General features: G+C 40.8%; 2 protein-coding genes across 3 annotated transcripts in view; one reads left to right on the forward strand and one right to left on the reverse strand.

Moving 5' to 3' along the window:
• On the forward strand, positions 3,445-11,080 carry CRYBA1 (crystallin beta A1). Its single transcript, NM_005208.5, has 6 exons — positions 3,445-3,480; positions 5,728-5,792; positions 6,768-6,886; positions 8,650-8,791; positions 10,226-10,368; positions 10,788-11,080. Exons 1-6 carry the CDS (start codon positions 3,450-3,452, stop codon positions 10,933-10,935), a joined length of 648 nt encoding a protein of 215 aa, NP_005199.2. The 5' UTR covers positions 3,445-3,449; the 3' UTR covers positions 10,936-11,080.
• NUFIP2 (nuclear FMR1 interacting protein 2) overlaps positions 12,425-26,211 on the reverse strand; it is a 38,310-nt gene continuing 24,523 nt past the window's right edge. For both annotated transcript variants that reach the window (NM_020772.3, XM_017024896.3), the window contains exons 3-4: positions 24,084-24,116; positions 12,425-21,177 (exon numbers count right to left, since the gene is read on the reverse strand). In NM_020772.3, the coding sequence (NP_065823.1) occupies positions 21,125-21,177; positions 24,084-24,116 (86 nt within the window). In that variant the 3' untranslated portion in view covers positions 12,425-21,124. The remainder of the gene's footprint in view (positions 21,178-24,083; positions 24,117-26,211) is intronic.

The raw sequence follows: 26,211 nt of genomic DNA on the forward strand, positions 1-26,211 counted from the left end.
AAAAAAAAAAAACCTCAGTGAACTAGACAGATGAGGCTCCTGCCCTTATAGAGCATGGAGGCTAGTGGAAGAATTAGATAGGTAAACAATGTTTTATTTTTTAAAATCACTTAGTCTTAATAGAAAATATGTTCCCAATGTTCAAAATTTAAAGATTACAGAAAAATATACTATGAAAAGTCTTGTCCTGTATCTGAGGCCCAAGTGCCTCAGTTTCCCCCAACATTTGGAAACCAGTACTTCTAGTTCCTAAAGCAATTTCTGCAGCATGATCAATGTGATCTTGTGTAATTGGAAAAGCACAGGATGACATGAGGACACACTGTGAGGGCCTAAGCCAGCCTAAGAGTGGATGATTGAAAAAATGACTAAATGAGTGTTTCCCAAAGACCCTAATTCTGAAGAAAGGAAGGAGGAAGAGAAGGGAAAGGAAAGAAGAATCACCAACCATAGACAGCTAGTGCTTTAAGCCCTTGCACAGCCACCAGGTGGCCAGAGCATGCTATGATACCAAAAGCAACTCTGTCCCCTGCCAGACATCCGTCCAGACATCACGAGTTAATCAAGGCATCAGAAACATCCTTGGGGCGATGTGCCATGCTTAGCATCAGATTTATATGTCTAACAGCAAGTTTGTCCAACCGGCAGCCTGCAGGTGGTATGTGGCCCAGGACAGTTTTGAATGCATCCCAACACAAATTAATAAACTTTCTTAAAACATTATGAGATTTGTTTTGTAATTTTTTTTTAGCTCATCAGTTATCATTAGTGTTAGTATATTTTATGTGTGGGCCAAGATAATTATTCTTCTAATGTGCCCCAGGGAAGCCAAAACATTGGAAACCCCTGGTCTGGAACGTTCTACCCAAATCTGCAAATACTCGAATACATACCAGACCTCACCCCCTGATTTTTGGTTCTGAAGAAAAGGGGCCACTGATGAAACTTGAGTCGGGGACTGGAGAGATTGCAGAGGAATTGAGAGAACTTTCTTTTTCTCTCCAAGCTGCTATGAAATTTTCTTTTTTCTTTTTTTTTTTTTTTCTGAGATGGAGTCTCGCTCTGTCCCCCAGGCTGGAGTGCAGTGGTACAATCTCGGCTCACTGCAAGCTCCGCCTCCCGGGTTCACGCCATTCTCCTGCCTCAGCCTCCCAAGTAGCTGGGACTACAGGCGCCGCCCGCCACCACGCCCGGCTAATTTTTTGTATTTTTAGTAGAGATGGGGTTTCACCGTGTTAGCCAGGATGGTTTCGATCTCCTGACCTTGTGATCCGCCCGCCTCAGCCTCCTAAAGTGCTGGGATTACAGGCGTGAGCCACCGTGCCCAGCGAAATTTTCAATAGTATCTTTCATTGGAAAGAGAGTAGGGTAAGGAGTCATAAGCCTACAATGTATCAGGCAGATATTCTATTTTTGAGGTTGAGAGAGTCTGAGTGACTTGCTTCAAATCTCCCAGCCAGGAAACTGGGATTTGAACCCACATCTGCCTGGCTCAAAGCCTTCCACATCCATTGCAGCCTCTTGCTTCTCACAATATCTGTGATGCTTGCAGAACACATCTTCCCCTTCAGGGCCCCTGCGGAGGCCCACGATTCCCCTACCTTACCTTCATCAAGTGTCCTGAAGTTTCTGGGAGAAGTCATTTTACACTTTAAGGTACTATACGCATAGTAACTTGGGCCTGTGAGATTTCCAAAGACCTAAAACAATTCAGTAAAACGTCAAAATTGGCCGGGCACAGTGGCTCACGCCTGTAATCTCAGCACTTTGGGAGGCCGAGGCAGGCAGATCACTTGAGGTCAGGAGTTCAAGACCAGCCTGGCCAACATGGTGAAACCCTATCTCTACTAAAAATACAAAAAAATTAGCCGGGCATGGTGGCAGGTGTCTGTAATCCCAGCTACTCAGGAGACTGAGGCAGGAGAATCACCTGAACCTGGGGGGCAGAGGTTGCAGTGAGGCAAGATCGCACCACTGCACTCCAGCCTAAGCAACAGAGCGACACTCTGTCTCAAAAAGAAAAAAAAAATTGGTTTTGAAGGTGTGGGTGGCAGGAATTCTCGCCCCTGGCCTGGGTGAGCTAGAGGGGAGAAGCAAGGACATCTAGGTCCCTATCACCGCTTGCCTAGACAACTTCACAGGAAGGCCCCCGGGAATCTGAGATGGAGCAGGTGAACCCTTTACATCTAGATGGTGAGTCCAAAGGAGGTATTCAGAAGGTTGCCTTCTTCCCCTTCCTACTGCTGCCCAACGATGACCCGCAGGCTGAAAGAGCCCTTTCCTCCTGGAACTGATGTGGGACCTGGCCTGTTTGGGAGCAGAATGGTGAAAGGAATTAACATGGAAGACAAAGGGACAGGCAGCCAAGATCATTTGAGGAGGAAAAATTGCTTCATTTCTAGGCTCCTTCCCCTTTTGAAACAGATAAGTTACATCCATTATATGCTCAGTGTTTATATTCAGAACTGCAGTTCTAGCCAGGGGGGTCTCTTTCCTCTCCTGGAATTTTTTGGGCCATTTATGCATTACTCCTGAGGGAGGGCCAGTGCAGGGCAGTGACTTTGGTGTTGGTTAGAACTGGATTCGAGTCTTGGCTCTGCCATTATAAATACTGTGACCTTAGGCAAGTCACCTGATTGTTCTCTTAGTTTCTTAATCTGGAAAATGGAGGTGAAAATAGCACTGTTGTGGTGGCTGTGAAAAAGTATTTCTTTCTTTTGTTGTGGAAAAGTATTTAATTCAAACTTTTTAAGTAAAGCATTTAGCACATGTCTAATATATAGGAATTATTCAATAAATGGTTTAATTCTTTTTTAAAAAACCCAAAAGTTATAGCTCCAAAATTTTTAAAGAAAATTGCAAAATTAAAAGGAATATTTAATAAAATAGCTACAGAGAGACACATGTCTGCTAGTCAACTATAATTGAAGTCAACCCTTACATAGTTATATATAAATACAGCATAATAAAGATTCCCAAGAATACAATGAACCATTTTTTCTCATATTGAGTTCAGAATTACAATAATTCTTTCACATTTTTAAACAACAAGAAATGCACATCTGTATGGAAGTGAGGTGCATTTTGATGTGTTTGATATGACATGGGGTCTCCCAGGGTCTTAAGGTCTTAGGAAGATCCCAAGGTGGTGTGAGGAACCTGGAGAAGGACAAGAGACAAGTACTCATGGCAGAGACTTCTGTCCTCACCCCCTAGCTGCTCTGAGAGATTAAGAAAGCCAAGGCCTGCAGCAGCCAGCCATGCCCACAACAGAGGGGCCTCTCTGGATTTCTGTATCCCTGGTTTAAACAAAGGCCCCAGCAAGCTGAGCCACCAAAGCTCTGGGGATCATGAGGAACAAAGGCAGAGGGAGAGCAGAGTGCTGACAGGGCCAGAGGCCAGAGGCCGCAGGGCTATAAAGAGGAGGGCCACAGAGCAAGTGGTACCAGATGGAGACCCAGGCTGAGCAGCAGGAGCTGGGTGAGTAAGGCCCTCAGGGTGCCCTTGCCCTTCCTCTCCTTGCCCTGCAGAGACATGCCCAGGAGAGGGCCCAGTTCTCCTGCCTAGTGTGTAGAGCCTTCTAGGGTGGCTGGAGAAGAGTGGGGAACTCTGGCGGAAGACAGCCTTCTCTTGTCACCCCAAGAGGAGTCACTTATATAGCAATAACCACTGCCCTAGCAACTAAGGCTGGGGGATGGGCATGGGCCCCCAAGAAACGAGCAGGGAGAAGGTATGGGAGCAGGACCTGGGAAATGTTGCTTATTCAGAGATTCAGAATGGAAAAATATATTACAGAGTTGACATGCATCATTCCTGGGCCCAATACCAGCCAGGAGGAGGGCCATGAATATCTGTCCTAAGAAACCTAATACACACCTGCCTGTCTTCCTTCTTCCCTTCCTCCCCCACTTTTCCTTCCTCTTTCTTGCTCTGTCCTTCCTTTTTTAAAACTCGTCCTACCATCTTCACTGTCTACCTAACCTCTTTGAGCCTCAGTATCCTCATCTGTAAAATGGGGATAATGATAATTCTTAATTCATAGTCTGTATGTGAAGATTAAATGCATGAATGCATGTAAAGCATTTAAAACAGGGCCGGACATGTAGATAGCCATTTTTGAGTGTAAGTATTATAACTCTTTTCTTCTTCACTTTCCTTCAATAAGTCTTTTTCAATGTCCCCCTGATCCCTCATCTCCACATGTGCTCAGCACGATGCTATACCAATCCCCTAGAAGACCGAGGCCTTGCCATTGAGGTGCTCACCAGGACATCCAACCAGAACACAGATTGGTACTGTGATGAGTGCTATAAATCAAGAAAGCAAGCAAGTGGCTGTGGGCTGGAGAAGGCAGGAAAGCCTCTGAGAAGGCAAGGTCAAGGCTGGGTAGGATCTAGGAGATAGAAAAGCAGAAAGGAATGGCCAGGCGCCGTGGCTCATGCCTGTAATCGCAGCACTTTGGGAGGCCAAGGCGGGCAGATCACCTGAGGTCGGGAGTTCAAGACCAGCCTGACCAACAGGGAGAAACCCCGTCTCTACTAAAAATACAAAATTAGCCGGGCGTGGTGGCACATGCCTGTAATCCCAGCTACTAGGGAGGCTGAGACAGGAGAATCGCTTGAACCTGGGAGGCGGAGGTTGCGGTGAGCCGAGATTGCGCCATTGCACTCCAGCCTGGGCAACAAGAGTGAAACTCTATCTCAAAAAAAAAAAAAGAAAAAGAAAAGCAGAAAGAGGCCAGATAAGGATGAGACCGTGAAGGGTTACGAGGGAGTCTGGGGCTTGGGATCCTGGCATGGCTGGCTGTTTGGCCAGTCACATGAGGGGTCTGGCCTAGGTGGTTGCCAAAGAGTTTATATTGCAGACAGAGGTAATGCTGTCACCTGAAAGCAAGTGAGAGGACAGGGTCTCAGTGCTTTACCTGCATTATTGTTTCTGATCCTTGTTTTTTTTCTTTTTTTTTTTTTTGAGATGGAGTCTCACTCTGTTGCCCAAGCTGGAGTGCAGTGGCACGATCTCAGCTCACTGCAACCTCTGCCTCCCGGGTTCAAGCGATTCTCCTGCCTCAGCCTCCCGAGTAGCTGGGACTACAGGCGTGTGCCATCATACCCGGCTAATTTTTGTATTTTTAGTAGAGACGGGGTTTCACCACGTTGGCCAGGCTGGTCTCAAACTCCCGACCTCAGGTGATCCGCCCGCTTTGGCCTCCCAAAGTGCTGGGATTACAGGCGTGAACCACCGTGCCCGGCCTATTATTTCTGATCCTTACAATAACTGCATGTCGAAGCTTTACCAATGGAAAAACTGAGGCTCAGGCTGGGCGCGGTGGATCACTTGAGGTCAGGAGTTTGGGACCAGCCTGGCCAACATGGTGAAACCCCCATCTCTACTAAAAATACAAAAACTAGCTGGACATAGTGGTGCATGCCTGTAGTCCCAGCTACATGGGAGGCTGAGGCGGAAGGATCACTTGAGCCCAGGAGGCAGAGGTTGCAGTGAAGTGAGATTGTGCCACTGCACTCCAGCCTGGATGACAGAGAAAGACCCTGTCTCAAAATAGCAACAACAACAACAACAAACCCCGAGGCACAGCTAGTGAGCAGCAGAGCCAGAATTTCAACCAAAGTCTGTCTTGCAGACTTCAAGTCTCCTTTACCTTTCAAGGCATTCCCTCACCTCCCCCTCCTCCCAAGAGGCCACATCATTCGTGTGTGCTCTGTCTTCCAGAAACCCTTCCAACCACCAAGATGGCTCAGACCAACCCTACGCCGGGGTCCCTGGGGCCATGGAAGGTAAGCCCACCCCCATCACATCCAACAGGGCAGGGGTGACATGCTGCACAGAGCAGGCCCCAGGCCTGTGCTCGTCCATAAGGCAGTGACTGACCAGAAAAACCCCAGTTTGTAGGGGAAAGGTCCACACAAGCTCCAGTGCTGTCGAAGGAAGGATCTCTCAGGATGTCCCACTGGACAAAGGAAGGATGACTGTGGATGCCATTGATGGGTGGGAGATGATACCTAGTTTCCTAACTCCTCTCTCCTCCCCACTAAAGTCATCTTAAAATACAGCAGCCCAGCAACAGTTATGTCCATGGAGAAAATGAGGGCCCATAAAGATATTTACTACTAGATCCCAAATAAATTACAGGACTCAGCCTCCCATCCTGAGGTTGGCTTTAACCATTGGCCGAAGTGGCTGATCCTCAGGCCTCTCACTGGCCTCTCTCCAACACTCCCCACTCTCCTCATTGGGTCAACTCTGAGGCCAGCTCACAGCTTTGCGAGTGGTCCTCTGGCCAGGTCCACGAGCCAGGTTTTAGTTCAATGTACAAAAAGGGTTGACCATAACTCTCCTTTACACTCTAGGTTTCTATAGGGGGTATGGCTGGAGAAGCTAAGAATCTATAAGGAGCTCCTGGGACTCCCAGAATCCTGGCCTCTGGGCCATGCTTATGAAGGAACTGTGGTGGAATGGGAGCCCATAAGTCCTTGGCCTGTCCATTGGTCTAGATATTATCCCTGGCAGACCATTTCTATCATAAACCAATCCTCCCTCCACCTCATCCCTACTCTGGGCAAATGAACACCAACCAGTGGCATTAATTCAAACCCCTTCCTGCCCTGTCTACACTGGAAGAGACCTCATCAGGCATCCCAGGCTACAGCTGGTAACAGAAAGCACAGAGTCAGACTGAAGTTAAGCTGTTGACCTGGACCTCTGTTTTTCCTGATGTTCTAGCTCTCTTGCGCCATTCAATCTCATTTCAGATAACCATCTATGATCAGGAGAACTTTCAGGGCAAGAGGATGGAGTTCACCAGCTCCTGTCCAAATGTCTCTGAGCGCAGTTTTGATAATGTCCGGTCCCTGAAGGTGGAAAGTGGCGCGTGAGTATGGACTTCCGCAGAACCGCAGCCCCTTATTTCAGGTCCCTTCAGACAGGGGACCATAGAGTGGGGATAGGGGAAGAAGGATGTTCCCCTAGGCTCTAGTCATTTCTCGGAGACAGGCCTCGAAAGAAATCACTACATGCATAATTTAGTAAGCCAAAGCTAGAAGGAAGGAACATGAGGTTCTTAGTGGCTTGGTACTAGATTTCAGGGGCTGGATAAAGAAATACATACAATGGGGTGGGACAGTGGCAGTAATCAAAATTTTGCTTCTGGAGCTCACAGGCTGCTACCTAGGGTGCCCTCAGAACAGCCACAAGACCCTTGAGTTTTTCTTGCCTGCAGAAAATTGGTAGAGAAGAAAGTGTCAAGTGGCTGCCTCTTCATGGCTAACTCTCCTCCTGCATATCCCAGAGCAGACACTGTTAGCTAATTTCTTTATGAAAAAAAAAACCTTAACCCCACGACTCCAGAGACATATTAGCTCCTGATTCATCTTTCAGGCAGTTTCTTGTTGATGGTTAATCTTGGTGAGGGAGACCCTCTCATTTTTGTCCTCTGACTCTTGGCAGAGTAGTTGAGGCCTTTATCATTAGCCTGAAAATACCTAAGGAAAAGACTCACCCTTGACTAGGCAGAATTGGCCTTGCATGTGGATAGGCTTCCACAAGTTGCTTGCCACCAAAATTAAGCTCTTCAGTCCTTTAAAAGATGTAACACTTTAAGGTGTCATCACTAACTGAGACCCAGTTGTGAAAAACTGAGCTGAGTGTTTCAAGTTTTAAGTACAGGTATGGGGCACTAGGAGAAAGAACTCGCAAGTCACAGGAAGAAAAAAGACTAGTAATCCATCAGTTGCTTGTTCATCCCTGTGCTTTCTTAAGAAGAAGCCAACAGGTTTGGCTTGAGCCAAAGCAATAGTCCAGGGGTGTCTAATCTTTTTGGCTTCCCTAGGCCACACTGAAAGAATTGTCTTGGGCCACATATAAAATACCATAACGATAGCTGATGACCTAACAACAACAAAAACAACTCATAATGTTTTGAGGAAGTTTACAAATTTGTGTTGGGCTGCGTTCAAAGCTGTCCTGAGCTGCATGCAGCCCTTGGGCAACAGGTTGGACAAGCTTGCAACAGTCACTAGATCCTGAAACAGGTAGAGAATAGGTGATTTGGAGAAAAAGAAAAAAAAATTTTTTTTTTTTTTGAGGCAAGGTGTCACTCTGTTGCCCAGGCTGGAGTGCAGTGGCACAATCATGGCTCACTGCAGCCTCCACCTCCAAGGCTCAACCCTCAGCCCCCTGAATAGCTGGGACTGCCAGTAGTGGGTCACCACGCCTGGCTAATTTTTGAGTTTTGTAGACGGGGTTTCGCCATGTTTCCCAGGCTGGTCTCCAACTCATGGGCTCAAGCGATCTGCTTGCCTTGGCCTCCTGAAGCGTTGGAACTACAGGCGTGAGACACCACACCCAGCCAGGAAATATAATTTTAGATTGGCTTTGCTAATACACTTCACTCAGACCAGTGAAGTAGATAGACCTTTTCAGTGATAACCCCCAAACAAATATTACATTCACTAACCTGCTTAGTATACCTGTCAACTCATTCCTCAACTCTTGTGACAAATTACTTTGTACAGCTCTACTGGGATTGGCTTGATATTTTACCCCACTATTGACTTATCTAAAACGAAAGATGCCTTCTCCCCAAGGCCATATAGGCTTTGAACACCATGAACAAACACTACATGTCTTTGGCAGCTGGATTGGTTATGAGCATACCAGCTTCTGTGGGCAACAGTTTATCCTGGAGAGAGGAGAATACCCTCGCTGGGATGCCTGGAGTGGGAGTAATGCCTACCACATTGAGCGTCTCATGTCCTTCCGCCCCATCTGTTCAGCTGTGAGTCTCTGAAATTTCCACTTCCGTGCATATGAGGGATGGGACAAGAGGGTGTGGACAGACTGACGTTCATGCTATTTATCATCAGTTATGCTGAATGTGGCAGGAAAAAAGACAAAAGTAAAAAAAGAGAAAACATCACTTTCTTCTCTAAGCCTGCTATTTGATTTTTCTCCACCAGGTGGTACTTCCCTTAAGCTAAAACTAAGGGTCTTACAAGTGGCAATAAGTGGATACTCAAGAGCCCAGTAAACTTGTGAAACACTAGTAAATGAGTGAAAGTGCTTACCCTGCAGCAAAAAGTAAATCCTTGGCCAGTTAAATTTCAATCTGTGTAACATTTTTACTGCAGAAACAGGAAAATGCTGAAGTAACCTTTCAGTAAGTGGGAATGACTGACGAAATAGGCAAGTCTTCCAGTATCGATCTACACTGATTGATAATAATCTTCTTGTTCTGAACACTTAAGTATTACTCAATAATGCATCAGGCTGGGATGTTTCTGGTCTTTGGAAACAGTTCAAGCAGAAAGCAGAATGACCTTAAGGGGTGTGTTGAAAATGATCCCTGTATTAGGAGTTAGGTTGGGCTAGAACCTTTCCAAATATTCAGTCTATGTGAGAGTTTCTCGTGATTTTGGTTAATAATCTCATCTTGGTTCAAAGTCTTGCCAAAATTCAACTGGTGGAGAAGTTAACCTAAATAGTTCTAATCCAAATAAATAGTTGCCTGTCTGGAAATTATTTCAATCTCACTTTTAAAAACATTTCATTTGCCCACCCTAAGGTATAACTGACATACAGTAAAATGCACAGACCCTAAGTGAATATTCTCATGAGTTTTTGAAAAATATATAGATCCATGTAACCAACACCCTAACCATATAAAGAACATTCCATCATAGTTCCCTGGTGTCCCTTTCCACTCAATTGCTCCCCTACCACTTTCTATTACCAAACAGTTTTGTCCATTTTTGAAGTTCATACAGGTTAGTCTCTGTCTTTTTAATGCTTGTGTAGTATTCATGTCCCCTACTGGACATACAGGTTATATCCAACAACACACATACACACGCAAGCGCACACATACATATTTGGGCTTACTTTTTGTAATAATCTGTGAGATCTTTTTTCACATTAGTGAATATTAATCCCTTGGTTGGCTGCATTTTGTTAGTACTTTTTCTCACTGTCAAATCCTCTTCATTGTTCCAAAATAGTATATCAGTTATTTGTACATTCAAAATGTTATGGTATTTAAATTGGAATAAACAAAATTATGGGTAACTTTTTTCTCACAAATCTGTTGCCTTAATCTTTTTAAATTATCATGTGCTTCCTTGTATAATCCAAAAGTGTTTCAATTTTGAAAAACATGAAGAATGATAGCCATAGCACTAGTACTAAACATTTTAAAACAATTTCTGAATTACAGAATCATAAGGAGTCTAAGATGACCATCTTTGAGAAGGAAAACTTTATTGGACGCCAGTGGGAGATCTCTGACGACTACCCCTCCTTGCAAGCCATGGGCTGGTTCAACAACGAAGTCGGCTCCATGAAGATACAAAGTGGGGCGTAAGTACAAAAACAGGGTTGGAATATACTTCAAAGTAACTCCTGAGGTTGCATCAATAGTTATGTTTTAATCAGATTTCATACGTATCGGTATAGATGTCACATTCTAGTTCTACATAATTTTGAATCTCAATTTCTTTATACCAACTACCACTTTAGGTTGCAGATTTATCTCCCCCAGACATGCCTCTATGGAAGAATTTACGTTGACTACTTATACCTGTTTTGATGATTAAGGCTAATTAACTAGCTATAGCCATATTATGCTTACAAATAGTGCCTGACACATTTAGGATGGCTATTTTTTCTAAGCCTAAAAGCATCTCATACCATTGTGTTGAGTAAAGAGGCTCAGGTTTTGGGGTATTAACCAGATTCCTAATTAGTTTTAATAATGAAATGTACTTTGAATTTCCTAGCTGGGTTTGCTACCAATATCCTGGATATCGTGGGTATCAGTATATCTTGGAATGTGACCATCATGGAGGAGACTATAAACATTGGAGAGAGTGGGGCTCTCATGCCCAGACTTCGCAGATCCAATCGATTCGCCGAATCCAACAGTAGCTGATTAAAAGCTCCAAGTACGATAATTCCTCAAGCATGAGACCTTGCTAAGCACTCTAGAATAAGTTTTATGTTCTGCTCACAGACATTGCTTTCAAATGTTAGCTGCTGAAATCCACAATAAACGTCATTTAAAAAAAAAAAACTTTGTAGACTGAATTAACTACCATGCTTCACATAAATCACACCTAAGTGGATGAGAATTTTTTTTTTTTTTTTAGTTATTTTGCTCTTGTTGCTCAGGCTGGAGTGTAATGGCGCTATCTTGGTTCACCACAACCTTCGCCTCCCGGGTTCAAGTGATTCTCTGCCTCAGCCTCCCGAGTAGCTGGGATTACAGGCATGCACCACCACACCTGGCTAATTTTGTATTTTTAGTAGAGACGGGGTTTCTCCATGTTGGTCAGGCTGGTCTCGAACTCCCGACCTTAGGTGATCTGCCCGCCTCGGCCTCCCGAAGTGCGGGATTACCGGCGTGAGCCACCACGCCCGGCCTGTGGATGAGAATTTTTGTTGTTGTTGAGACAGGGTCTCACTGTCACCCAGGCTGAAGTGCAGTGGTGCGATCTGGCTTACTGCAGCGTCATTCTCCTGGGCTCAAGTGATCCTGCCTCAGCCTCCTGAGTAGTTGGGACTACAGGTGCCTGCCACTATGCCTGGCTAATTTTTGTACTTTTTGTAGAGATGAGGTCTCACTATGTTGCCCAGGCTGGTCTCGAATTCTTGGGCTCAAGTGATCCACCCACTGTGGCTTCCCAAAGTGCTGGGATTACAGGTGTTGAGCCACTGCGCCTGTCTGGATGAGAATTTTTTAAGTCAAGCTTCCATAAAACTCCACATTCTCTTTTGTGTCCTTGCAAGTCACTCACCAGGCCAAGGACAATTATTCCTTATCTCAAAGAACAATAAAGCATATGACCTAAATGTTATCAATCTCTATAGCGACTGACACTTTTGGTAAATGTTTTTATGTCCTTTCCTCCCGTCTCCTGCTCTTTCTAATAATGTTGAAGTTGGCATTGATTTTCCTTTCACCTTGTGACAAATCAGTACTAAAGAAACAGGAAGTTTCTCCAGTGTGTACTGCCACATATTTCAACATAAAGTTATGAATAAATCCAGAATCTTGGCAACTTAACATTCTAGTTGCTCAACTGCTTAGCTCAATTTTGATTTATTTCAATTGGAAGGGCATAAGGCTTAATGTCCTGCAAAAAGGCAGGATAGCTCTGGATTTTTCAATAAGCAAGCTAATTCTAAGCACTGTAAAAACCTGTATGATTAAAAAATTTTTTTAAAATCATAGGACCATAGTATACTGAAGACTTAAATTCTTCACATATTTGACCCTTTGGAAAAAAATCATTATCAATGTCACAAACTTAGTTTTCGGTTTGTTTTTCTTTTTACTTTTTATCAGCTGAATTTAAGATTAGTCAGTAAAGACTTTTTAAAAAATTAAAGCACACAAAAGATAACAAACACCTCAGAAACTTTAAAATTTTTTATTCAACAATGTACACTTATTGTCTCTCAATTTGATCTACAAATTTCTCAAGTTTTTTTTCTGATAAAATAAGTAAATCTGGGTATGGTTGTAGAGTGTTTGTAATTTATATTTTTAAAACACTGAACATGATGAAGACATCAATAAAGGAAGATCATCACGTAAATGACACTTCCTCAGAATCCATGACATCAGAAACAGCTATAGCAAATACCTAAGCATTTAGCAAAAGGGAAAATTTCTGGTGACTGTTCTTATATGTAGAAAAGACCTATATTTTTGACTGGGCAAAACAAACATTGAAACTTTTTTTTGAGCGGGGGGAACATCCTTTAACATAACTGTACTCCACTTATTATCCATTCCCCCAGATTAAGAGGTAACTCAGCTCCTTAGTGCCTCTGCACGAGACAGAGAAATTACTTCACTCCTCCAGTAGGTTCTAAGACTGAACATAAGTGAACTACTGACAGATGCGGAAGAGGAACCATAGCCATCTAAAATGATGCTTGCTACACTCCTGCATTTCTGCCTTTTAAGGCCATGCAATTAATATGGGTCACCTTTTAAGTCTTAACTGGATAACTTAGTTTTTAACTGCCACTATCAATGAAGATACATATAGAAGGGTTTTGCTGTGTCCTCAAAGGCAACAATATACTTGATGAAGAAGTAACCCTCTTCTGTATATTGAAAAAGCTATAAAATGGAAATATTTATTTTTTATGTAGGAGCATGGGGAAAATGCTATCAGTAATATCTTCTACTTAAACATATTAGCCTCTCCTACAAAGGTCCTGAACCAATTAAAAAAAAAAAAACTTTAAAAAAGATGATTTGACAAAACCTGGGTAGTAGTACATCTACACATTATAAGTACACATACACAAAGTAAAGCTATTTAGTACATACAGATTGCAGCACTTGAACCAAATGTACCCAACTCCTAAACTTGTTCTAATCAGCTTGGGCAATTTTTTAAAAGATACACGTTATCTTTAAAACAACCAGTGCTTTGATCTTACAAACAACTGAATAATTCTAATCTCAAGCCAGTCAATTCAGTAAACCAAATTTATGCTAAAGCAATAAAGGTAAAAGCCTATCCTACCTTTAAACCAGCTTTAAGACAAAAAATCGTCACCAAGTTCCATATGACAAAAAAGGGTCTTTCAGTTTGAATTACTTTCCATTTCTATTTGATCAAATAAACCAAAATATTACTAAGGAAGAGCATCCAATGATTTGTAAAGCTGATAAAACTGCCCTGTTTCAAGAAAAGCTCTTTAATAGATACAAGTCAAGCTCTCGTTTAAATTGAACTTTATTAAAATAGGTGCCAGTTTTCCTCTCTCCTAGTTCCACTGATGAGCTAGCCCAGAACTATGTAACTTTGAGCCAAGTTTCCAAAGATGGTAAAGCTAACAACAGCAAAGTAGTAAGGACAAATCGGTCACTTTTGGTAATGACACACAAATTAAACTTTCAAAACATGTGCATAGCTTTATTCATCTACTTAGATCTAACCTTTTCACGGAGCTTCGGCAAAATTCGAGTGTGCAAAATGCATTTCTAAAACGTAATGCAAGCAAAGCTTTCACATTTACACTGGCAGGAAATACAGAGAGAAACTAACAAGTCACATTAGGGAAAATTCAGATCTTTTTTTTTTTTAATGACAAGAATTGCACAGTTTATTATTTTGAGACAATTGTTGCAGACATAAATATTTAAAATTTTCTAAGCAAGGTGCTTTTAACAAAATTTTTAAAGTTGGAAAGAGCTGATAACTTGGATCATAGCTCACACAGAATTCCAAATTAAAGTGGACTCCATTATCTCCCTATATTTTGCAAACAATGCTTTGTATAACACTTCTTTAAAACACTAAAAGAGACAGCAAGCTGAAACTTTTTTCAAAGCACACAAGAAATGTTTACTTGAAGAAGGTGCTGAGGGGAGAAGGGAGTGAAGAATCCTTTTACTATTTCCCACTACAGGACAGCCACTAACAGACTAAGAACAAAAAAGATACAACAAAAAAAGTAAATCACTTCCCCAGCTTATAAAATAGTTCCAGTTTCGCAAGATCTGTAACTTTAAACAGAGAGCACCAGTTGGGCAATAGAATGAGCATTTCATACTGCATAAAAATTAGTGAGGTGGTAAGAACCATCGACTATCTCAGGCATTACTACATGGCGTTTCCAATTTTTTTTTTTTAATATACATGCAAGGCACATTGATATAAAAATAGATCTCTGGCCAACAAATATATTAAATAAGCAAATTAAAATTTTGGCTTTGCGATATTGGCAACATCAAAATATAACCAGATAGCTTTGGCCCACACATCTTTCTCATTCCTCCACCTCATTTGGTGTTTCCCACCCATTATTTTGGGTTCAATCACCTTCAAGTTTGGGTATGTGCTTGAGAAATGACTTTTCTTCTTGTCAAGTAGCATTCACTAAAGTTTTCCTTTGCTAAGTAAAAAGACAAGAGAAACAGCTGGAGTTTTGATTGATTTGATTTAAACTAAATCTGATTGGTTCAGGGCAGCACTATTTCCCCTCTATATACAAACAAAAAATAAGTCCCCAGCTTACATAGACAAATGTTTTCTAAAAGATCAGCAACAAATCAATGACACCACGTCCTTTAAGCCATTCTTCCCAATTCCTCTTTCTGAGGCAGAGAGAGGGAATAATAGAAACAAAGCTAAGATTTAAACTATTTTCAGTAGTAGAAGACATTTAAGGCCAAAAAGTGTACTATTAACAGAATTCTTATATTCCTAAGTTATTGTCCTTCATAGGACAATATCAGCTAAGAATTAGTTACTTGTATTGATTCCCTCCCAAAAAGAATTTTATAATTCATTCACTCTTGTTAGTGGCTGTGCTACAGGAAAGGTATCAAAGCAACCTATGGTATATGTATGGTATATAGTAATGTAAAAAGTGCATCACATTCTTGATTTTCAGTTTCTCATAGCAGCAGGATTAATCTAAGACAGAAAACAGTTGTATTTTCATTCTTAAAATGCAACAATATCTAATGAAATGTATTCAAGATCATGAAAGGATCCTCCTCTATGAAGGATAAATGAAAACAGATTAATAATAGACAAACAGGGTAAACTAAAGGCATTCATTCATATTTACATATTAAAACCACTTTTGTTAACACCAAATCTTTACATCTAGCAAAAGAAATAAGCATTTTAAGAATAAAGCAGACATCACTAAAGCAGTATCCATTTTCAGAGCCTTTGATTAGCACCTGAGGAAAAAAGGGTACATGGAAAGCTATGTAATTTGCCCTCAAGTTAATTTGTTGGTCTGAAGAGTACAACAACTTTGATATGCACTGAAAGTAAAACTAAATTGGAAAATAAATGTTTGTAGTTAGTTTAATAAGGCTGTAGAAAAGAGATACTTGGCCGGGCACGGTGGCTCACACCTGTAATTCCAGCACTTTGGGAGGCTGAGGCGGGCAGATTGCCTGAGGTCAGGAGTTCGAGACCAGTCTGGTCAACATGGTGAAACCCCGTCTCTACTAAGAATACAAATTAGCCAGGTGTGGTGGTGTGCGCCCGTAATCCCAGCTACATGGGAGGCTGAGGCAGGGGAATTGCTTGAACCAGGGAGGTGGAGGTTGCAGTGAGCCAAGATTGCGCCACTGTACTCCAGCCTGGGCAACAGACAGTCCGTCTCAAAAAAAAAAAGGTGGGGGGGGGGGGGATACTGCAGTATTATAAAATGGCTTTAGAACTCTGCACATAACAAAATTGTATGGAAAATAGGGAAGTCTGAATCAGCAATCCCATCACATATGAGGACGGCCATTCCATAGTTTCTAGCCCATAACTGATTTACCATTCCCAATAATGCAAGAGCAACATACCAATCATGCTGCAATGGGTGTTTTTATTATGCAGACAACCGAAAATTCTATTCGCACTATTGCTGGCATCCTTTAACTACTTTAAGACCTTTCTTGAGCGGCAAAACAGTGTGAAATTTAAAACTCAGTAAAGCAATGCTTTTGAGTGGAGCCAATGATTCATCACTCTCCCAGGTGGTCCTGGTTCTCACACAGGTGATGTATATTTTAAAAGAAACATTTTAAGATACCAAAACAGAAGCCCACCCTTTTCACCATGAAAGAATCTTGGTGCTCTGTTGATTAATTACATTAGTAAAAATAACATCGATATTAAGAACTAATGTTAAGCTATGTGCCTCTGGCAAACCTAAAGCAGCTATTTATGCTTCTAGTCTTTTCCTCTGCCTCTCCCTTTTAAACAAATTATCAAAATTTTGTGGCGGGTAAGGGGACAAGAGCAAATCCTACGTTTTCCTTTCAAATCCAACAGTTAAGTCATGGGTAGGGTTATTAAGATACTGCCCTATCAGACTCTACCTTGACTGGTGTGGCATCAACCAATCTGACCATAATGACCATTATATTTGTCCCATAACATAACTGTTCTGCACAGTTAACATATTTATACAAGAGGGATCAGCTGTTGTTGAGGATGTGGCCCAGCGGCATAACTATACTAATAATACCTGGAAATTGGACTTTTAATCTATTTCTCTGAAGAGAGCCTTGTAGGAATGACTCCGTCCTTATTTACAGTGGAATTAAAATTGAGTAAAGTCCATTTCCAATAGCCATTTGATACATGACAATTTCACACTAAATGGCTTATTTAAAAAAGTTCACAGCAATTACAAAAGATAAATCATTAGATGCCTCTGATGTGGGGAAGCAACAAGCCTAACAACCAAGTATGATATTATCACTATGTAATGTTTTTTCAAAATTTTGTATTGTGGACAACTCCCATAGTTGAGGTTTGTCATATTTTCCCTACAAACTGTTATTTGTAAAAACAATGCAGCACTTTTCCTTTATGAAGTTTCTGCAGATTGAGTAATGACTAGGTAAGCAGATGATTAAGGAGGACAACAAAATTCTAAAATGGAGAAACTCTGGCCATTTATTTCAAAGAAAAAAAAATCTGTCATTAAATTCCTAGTTATTGGCTATCCCCTCCTAGAAAGTAGAGGAGGAAGGGCTGGCTACCACAGACGCTGTAAATACACTTTATGTGAAGGTTCATTACTAAGGAGGTTAGAAGAAAGGCTATGTAATTAACTTCAGTTCAGCAAAGTGGGGGTGAATAAAGAGAAAGATAATACACCCTGTGTATTTTGTGGGAAAAGGGGATTATTGAGGACACCTACAAGAGTGGTATGTGACACAGAAGCCTACAATAATCAAAACAGATTTAAAAAGAAATCTTCACCCATAATTAGTATCTTCATAGCTATTAAAAAAATAGGTCATAATTTCATTCTTAGTGCCATTTTTCAATACTACCCTTTTAAGGATTTAAACCACCTGACTTTTTTCTGTGTAATGAAAACAAATGGCACAAAATAAATACAAGTTCATTCTCTGAATACTAATGTCTTATACACATTCATTTACTAATTTTTAATATCTCCATCTTTTCCTCACACACACATACATACATACATAAACACACACACACACACACACCCCTTTTTCAGTCTTTATAATGGAGGGATGTTAAAAATCCCCTCTAGACTGTATTTGGTTTATGCTACAGTACTAATACTCTGAGTTGAAGGAAAATTCTTTATACCAAACAATAACACGTTATTTAAATGTGCTAAATTAATCACAGCTGAAGTTTGTTTAGAAGCTTACACAAAATAATCAGAAAACAGATCAACTCTTAAGATTTTTTTTTAATAAGTGCTCTGTAAGGAATTGTGTGAGGACCTAAGGAGAAAGATTGCAACAAATAGAGTTAAGTGTTACCAAACAGCACAAAGAGATTTGTCCCAAAGTCCTGCTTGTACCTAGGCAATTAAGTCTATTAACCTAATGCCCCCAAAATACTGACAGTTAATATGATGGGGCACTAGGGTTCTCAGAAAGTTAACAGACATTCCTAACTACATACCTCTAACCATATAATCAAGGAAATTTCAGTGGAGAAATCAAAGTGAAATGTTGCATTGTTTCATTTAGAAGTGAGACTCTCAAAAACCTTTGGACAGACAGAGAAGTGATACATTCTTTTTGGCTTCTCTGAACACTGAGGCCTGAGGGATATGGAAGGAAATTAGAAAAGCAATAGCTTTCTAAAGATGTTTAATCAAGTGTTGCTTCTAAGTTAAAAAGCCCAATTCAGGTGGGGTCTGGGTTTGTTTTTTGTTTTTTCCTTTTCAAATATATACTCAATTCAACCTCTGTATGTCACAAACCCAGAAAGTTTCTTGTGAGTTGTGAGACGGAAGAACTTTAAAATTCCAGGCAAGCAAAATGGACATTTAAAAAAGGGGACTAGAGAGGGGAATCTGGCCCTAAGGCGACAAGTGGTTACACAAGGCAATTGAACACACAGCAGAACTTTAAAACCTGTAAAACAAACTGGAGCCTTTTTTCCCTTTAATCAACCTTATATGTCTTTTTTTTTAACTTTTTGAAAATTTTTATTTAAAAAAACACAAAAACACAGACTTTTTTCACTTCAGTTATGTGGTATGTTGCATTTTCCAGTTTGTTCAATGCTTTAAAGCTCAAGGATGCCTCTGCTTTCAATTGTACATGGGCCTGAAGCATCCTAGCTTTTGGCAAGCAGGCAGGAGACTCAACAAAAATCAAAATAGGAACAAGGCAGACTAAATGCAGGGCACATCTGTAAACATATTATACATTTGAAAATTACAATATCAGTCAAAGTGATACAGTTTACAGGTGAAATGAAACTATCTGGAACTGGCCTACCACAAGTTTCTGAACCTGGACTGATACAATAAGTTATTTTATATATATATATATATATTATGTATAAAAAAAAGTTTTGTTTACATCAAGTGGAATTGGCAATCCATGCTTATACTTTTAAAATCTAAGCAGGGCAGAAATCCAGACTAAAAAGATAGTTACTCTACTCTATGTTGAGTCCAACAGCTTCTTTCATGAACTACTTGTTTTAAAAGCCTCAAATAATCAACAAAACAAGAAAACCCATCCATACTACAGTCACTCAAAACTGGACATTTCTAGGGGTAGAGCCAAAGTAGTTACTTTCTCCCCAAATACCCCAGGGGATCCAGTCTACTTTTATCAGAAGACTACAACTCTTTATATAAATGCCCTGATATTTTAACCTGTATTTGACATACATGGATATACTAATTTCTGTGTGTGTGATGTGATGCTGTGTCAGGCCAGACAACTTGTTATTATGTTACTAACATCACCCAATCTCAATTGGACCCTTAATTTCTGCACACACACACAAAAATTTATTTTAGCATGCTATACACAAGCTGCAGTGCAACAGGATGGCAATGTAATGATAAGACAGGGCTAATGCTCTTCTCTGCCCCAAAGAAAATTTCCAGAATTTCACATTATTTTCCTTAAAAACCCATCTTGCTCTAGTAATAAAATATATTTATTAAGATATAATTAGAAGCTAACAAGCTCAGAAGTATAGTTTGCATGAAAACACACCTTCTACAGTCAGGGTTTATTATCTTCTCACTGGCTAAAAACATGAAAAGTTTTAGTTTTCATGGACTTTTTTCTTCCCCTTTTAGATTTTGCTGAGAAATTAAAAGATAATTTACAGAAAGGTCTAAGTTTGTCTTAAATGTTTGATGAAAAACAAGGAAAACAGCACATTTAGTGTTAGTGACGGAGAGCAAGTCTGGAGCACCTACAGTTGAAAAGCAGAATATATTTTTGCTCCCAGTTATACAATTACATTAAAATATGGGCACAGGAATATTTTTCCAGATTGTATATCTAAGCCAATTGCTTGTTCTGCAACTTTTCTTTAAATGACACGCATAGATTCTTCAGTTGTTAAAGTCCAATATGTAACCGAAGCCAAGTTAACTATGTACCATCAACTAACTATTCCAGAATTGTAGAACTTCAATGCCCTCCCCTATCCCCGCCCCACAAAAAATAAATGGAAAGAAATAAAGTATTTCCCCAACACCCCAGAGGCCGCTTAACTCCTGGCAAGACATGCAAATCATATTCGCTAAAAAAATACACCCTGCTAACTTCAAGGCATTTATCCAGCATTCTCGCAGGGCTTAATTAAAGTAAAACCAAAAAGATCAAGGGAGGAGTGGGGGGAAAATGTTGAATCATTCTGGGTTCCCCGTGATTAGTGTATCACTTCAGTCACAGAACAAGATACAGAGATCTTTTAAGTGGATTTGCCTTTCCAGTGGGTCATTTGTTGCCCAAGTTGATGACAGCAGGAACTTTAGAACCACACTTGTTAAGTCTGTATTCATTAATCACTTGCATTCACACTTAAAAACAAAAACTAACAGAAGAAAAAAAACCTATTCAGTACCGGAGATTAAATAACCATGTGTAGTCTCTTGAAATAAATTTGATTCCTTAAGAAGTCTAATTACTTTCAGTTGCCTTTTTTAAATAACTATATATATATATATGTATATATATATATTTGTATATATTATCCTGTGATTCTACTTATGGTTCCTCTGCTGCGTTGAAGATCTAGGAGCATAAAAGCCTTGTGTCCCCCATGAACGATGGCTCTAATGCTGCAGAAAGGTTACGAATAGGCAGTCTGGTCCTTCATTGATCTGGACTATCCATGGCTTCATTGTAAGTGATTATCCTTTTGGGATCTAGAAAGGTTAAAAAAATAAATAAAAATAAGGTCTAGAATCTCAAAATGCCCGTATTCCAATAACAATCCCAAATAACCATCATTTAAACTGACCAATTTTTTTATGAAAACAAAACTTCAAGCCCATTTCCTCCTTGTACCAACACATGTATGATCCAGTTTCTCAACCTGGAAGTAGCTATTTGGAATTCCAATGAATTCCAAGTACAGGGTCCTCTAGCCAGTGAGGGCCTCAACTCCTGCAGATCAGAGATGGTTGAGTTCACTTAAGGGTTTTATGTACTTCTACTGATTACAAAAGCAGTGTATTTGAATACAGCAGCCAAAGAAAAAAGCTTGTCACCAATAATCCAATATTAAAAGAAACACTTGGATTTTTCTTTTGCTGTTCCCAGCAAATGAAGTCAAAATTTATTTTAACCAGTGTGGGAACTATCTAAGTAAAACCTGCCACCAAAAACTTGACGTTAAATTAATTAGCAAAACTGCCAATTCAGTCCTAATCAAGACTGACTCAACTTCCCACAGTAACACCAGCCTTTATTCTCAGCACTAACAAAAGACTATGGATCTTTCAGATTCAAAACATAAAACTGTTAGAATGTGTCTGGAAGAAGACTCCAGGGTTATTCTAAATTCTTACTATTTAAGCTGCATGCTCCCCTCTTCTGGAGGGGAACTGTTTTTATTTTTATTTTTTTATTTTATTTTATTTTTTTTTTTTTTTGAGACGGAGTCTCGCTCTGTCGCCCAGGCTGGAGTGCAGTGGCGCGATCTCGGCTCACTGCAAGCTCCGCCTCCCGGGTTCACGCCATTCTCCTGCCTCAGCCTCCCGAGTAGCTGGGACTACAGGCGCCCGCTACCACGCCCGGCTAATTTTTTGTATTTTTAGTAGACACGGGGTTTCACCGTGTTAGCCAGGATGGTCTCGATCTCCTGACCTCGTGATCCGCCCGCCTCGGCCTCCCAAAGTGCTGGGATTACAGGCGTGAGCCACCGCGCCCGGCCAGGGAACTGTTTTTATTATATATTATTTTATTATATATATTATATTATATATATACACACACATATATAATTTCTACCTTCCCTAAGAACTTTTTCAAGTATACATGCTTAAAAAAAAAAAAAAAAAAGGCAAGTCAATACAACTGGTCACCCAATGGAAAATTTTAAAGGCCTGAAAATAGTATCAGAAAAACTCAAGTCCACTTCAGCTAAGAATCAATCTAGTTTAGTCCAGAGATAATATAATAATATCCTTTCTGGGACTCCTAGGGCCACCCATTGGAAATCTGCCATGAAGAACATGCTCATTCCTAAGAGTTAACGGCCATTTTACAGTAAAAACAGGTAGGTCTACTTTGCAGGGTATATTTTCTTTTCCTTTTTTTCAGACGAAGTTTCGTTCTTGTTGCCCAGGCTGGAGAGCAATGGCGTGATCTCAGCTCACTGCAACCTCCATCTCTTGTGTTCAAGCGATTCTCCTGGCTCAGCCTCCCTAGTAGCTGGGATTTACAGGCATGTGCCACCACGCCTGGCTAACTGTTTTAATAGAAATGGGGTTTCACCATGTTGGCCAGGCTGGTCTTGAACTCCTGAACCTCAGGTGATCCACCTGCCTCCGCCTCCCAAAGTGCTGGGATTCCAGGCGTGAGCCACCGTGCCCAGCCTGCAGGGTGTATTTTCTAGTCTATGTTTTTTTCATTTGTTTGGTAAGATACACAGAAAGTAACTCCGGAAGAAAGAGCAACATTGGGAAATCAGGGGAAGCTACATTCTAGTCCTGCCACTTTCTAGTTTACAGGAACCTCACTGGGCCTCACTTTCCTAATATGTAAAATAAGAGAAATTTCTACACATTTCAAGTCCTGAAATTCTAGGAATTTCACATCCATCTGAAATTCACTTACATTAATTAGCAAAGTAAATGAGGAATAGGATACAATTCAGGAATTGTATACTATTCAATTCAAAATGAATAGGATACAATTCAGGCTCCTATAACAGCTAATATTTTTCTGAACTATGAATTTCAATTCTTAGGCTGTTTGTTGTCTACCACACAAATACAGAGAAAGACCAGCCAAAAGTGGAAATACTTATTCTTGTTGGTTTCCTACATTAATAACATTTATGGCTTGTCTTACTTTCATAACCAGGAGGGGAAAAAAATCATTCATATCTTCATCTAGTAGGTAAATAATACTTTCATCTGTTTTTTTCACTTACAGTATTGCCCCATCCTCGCCAGTCCTGGTATGGTAGTGTCTTTTTGTTGCTGTTTTCTTTTTTCGTATTCACTCTTAATACTATCTTTTTTTTTGGAGATGGCGTTTCGCTCTTGTTGCCCAGGCTGGAGTGCAATGGCACAATCTCGGCTCACCATAACCTCTGCCTCCTGGGTTCAAGCTATTCTCTTGCCTCAGCCTCCCAAGTAGCTGGAATTACAGGCGCCTGCCACCACGCCCAGCTAATTTTTGTATTTTTAGTAGAGACAGGGTCTCACCATGTTGGCCAGGCTGGTCTTGAACTCCTGACCTCGGGTGATCCACCCGCCTCAGCCTCCCAAAGTGCTAGGATTACAGGCGTGAGCCACCGTGCCCGGCCCTACATTTTTTTTTTTTTTTTAATTTAAAAAATAGAGACGGGGTCTGGCTATGCTGCCCAGGCTGGTCTTGAACTCCTGGACTTCAGCAATCCTCCCGCCTTGGCCTCCCACAGTGTTGGGATTAGAGGCATGAGCCACCCTGCCCAGCTGCTAGTGCCTTTTGATTGCAGTTATTAAATAACTCAAAATACAAAGTCTATTTGGTAAATTACCACCCATCTGTTAATCCCACCCAAAAATAATGTCCAGTGGTTACTTATTAGTGACATTTTAAGTAATCTAATCATTCTTACCTTGCTTCTGCAAATTCCAAATAGATTCCATTTCTGCAAAGAAAAAAAGAGAATTACATACTAAGTTTTGGTGAGCAAAGTCTGAAGCGATGCTTTTCATTTTAAATCTAAAAATCCTAGACTGATTACTGCCAGACTGGAGGTAGGGTTGAAAATGGCAAAATTCTATGAAGTTCAGATAAAGCATTCATATTTTCCTATAGTTTTCTTTTTTTTAAGAGACAGGGTCTTGCTCTGTTACTGCAGCCTCAAACTCCCAGGCTCAAGTTATCCTCCCACCTCAGCCTCTCAACTATAGCCGCATGCCATCACACCCAGCTAATTTTTCTTTTTTTCTTTGGTAGAGATGGAGTCTGTTGCCCAGGCTGGTCCTCCTGCCTCAGGCGTGAGCCTGGATCCTGTAACTCTTTTGTTTTTTTGAGACTGAGTTTCGCTCTGTTACCCAGGCTGGAGTGCAGTGGCCTGATCTCGGCTCACTGCAACCTCCGCCTCTCGGGTTCCAGCGCTTCTCCTGTCTCAACCTCCCGAGTAGCTGGGATTACAGGTGCCCGCCACCACGCCCAGCTAATTTTTGTATTTTTAGTAGAGATGGGGTTTCACCATGTTGGCCAGGATGGTCTTGAACTCCTGACCTCAGGTGATCCGCCCACCTCGGCCTCCTAAAATGCTGGGATCACAGGCGCGAGCCACTGTGCCAGCCCGGCTGGCTCTTATAATTCTTAAGTGTCATGTAGATTATTACCTGAAATCAAATTGCCAGAATAATTTTGTCTTCACAAATTGCAAGGACATGCAAGACACATGCTACAGATAAAATAATACTTCTCATAACAGCTCATCATTATTTAAAAAACACCAAGTATTTCTTGGTAATCCACTGACTCCTCAATGAGGTGCCCAAATTTTTTGAACAAAGCATTCATCAAATTTGACTAATTAAAATTGATGTTTAATTAGTTTAACCATTCAGGCAAGTAGTTCTAACCTCTAAACCACACCTCTTTTTTATTTTTATTTATTTATTTATTTTTACCCCCAGCATGGAGTTTCACTCTTGTTGCCCAGGCTGGAGCGCAATGGCACGATCTCGGCTCACCGCAACATCCCCCTCCCGGGTTCAAGCGATTCTCCTGCCTCAGCCTCCCGAGTAGCTGGGATTACAGGCATGCGCCACCATGCTCAGATAATTTTGTATATATATATTTTTTTTTAGTAGAGAGGGGGTTTCTCCTTGTTTGTGAGGCTGGTCTTGAACTCCCAACCTCAAGTGATCCGCCCACCTCAGCCCCCCAAAGTGCTGGGATTACAAGCATCAGCCACCACACCCAGCCCTAACCACACCTCTTATTTTATCCTTTAAGGTCAGAATGCCAATCCACATCTATTATTAATGGCACACAATCATTTGTTCTAATTTCATCCAAAATGTCTACAATGTGCTTAGTTTGGCATCTTAAAATAAGAAAATTATGTACATGTACAAATTATAGCGACATACACAGAGAATGCAGTTAAAAACTCTACCTGTGATACATGAAAGCTTCAGGGGGCTATATATAGTCAACAGTAATTGACTATTACACAAGAACCAAAGAATTGGACCTTGAAAGGAAATATTCTATCTGGAGATTAACACAAACTACTTAGTAACAAAAATGAACTATAACAAACATTAAGGATAAGTAGTCTTCTGTGGTAATAAAACTATCATTTTGAAAGGACAAAAAGATTATTTTAACCCTGCTTAACTATTATGTGTAACTACATTCCAATTTAACAGCAATCAATTAAAGAAAAGGAAAAACTGAAACTCATTAAGATGGGATACATCTAGACTTGGGTTACAGTTAAGGCACAACATAATCCCTCCGTAGGACAAAATAAGATACAGATCTAAAATTATTATTTTCTGATTGTATGTGTATAAATAGGGGCAGGGAATGGTAGAATCACATTCCTATCTCTCTCCCTACTCCCCTAGCAAAAATTAAAACTGTAAAAACCAAATTTTTTTTTTTTTTTGCACAGGGGGACAAGGTCTTGCTCTATAGCACAGGCTGGAGTACAGTGGCATAATCATGGCTCACTGCAGCCTCAATCTCCTGGGTTCAAGCAATCCTGCCTCAGC

Source organism: Homo sapiens, chromosome 17, assembly GCF_000001405.40.
Source record: "Homo sapiens chromosome 17, GRCh38.p14 Primary Assembly".
Lineage (NCBI taxonomy): Eukaryota > Metazoa > Chordata > Mammalia > Primates > Hominidae > Homo > Homo sapiens.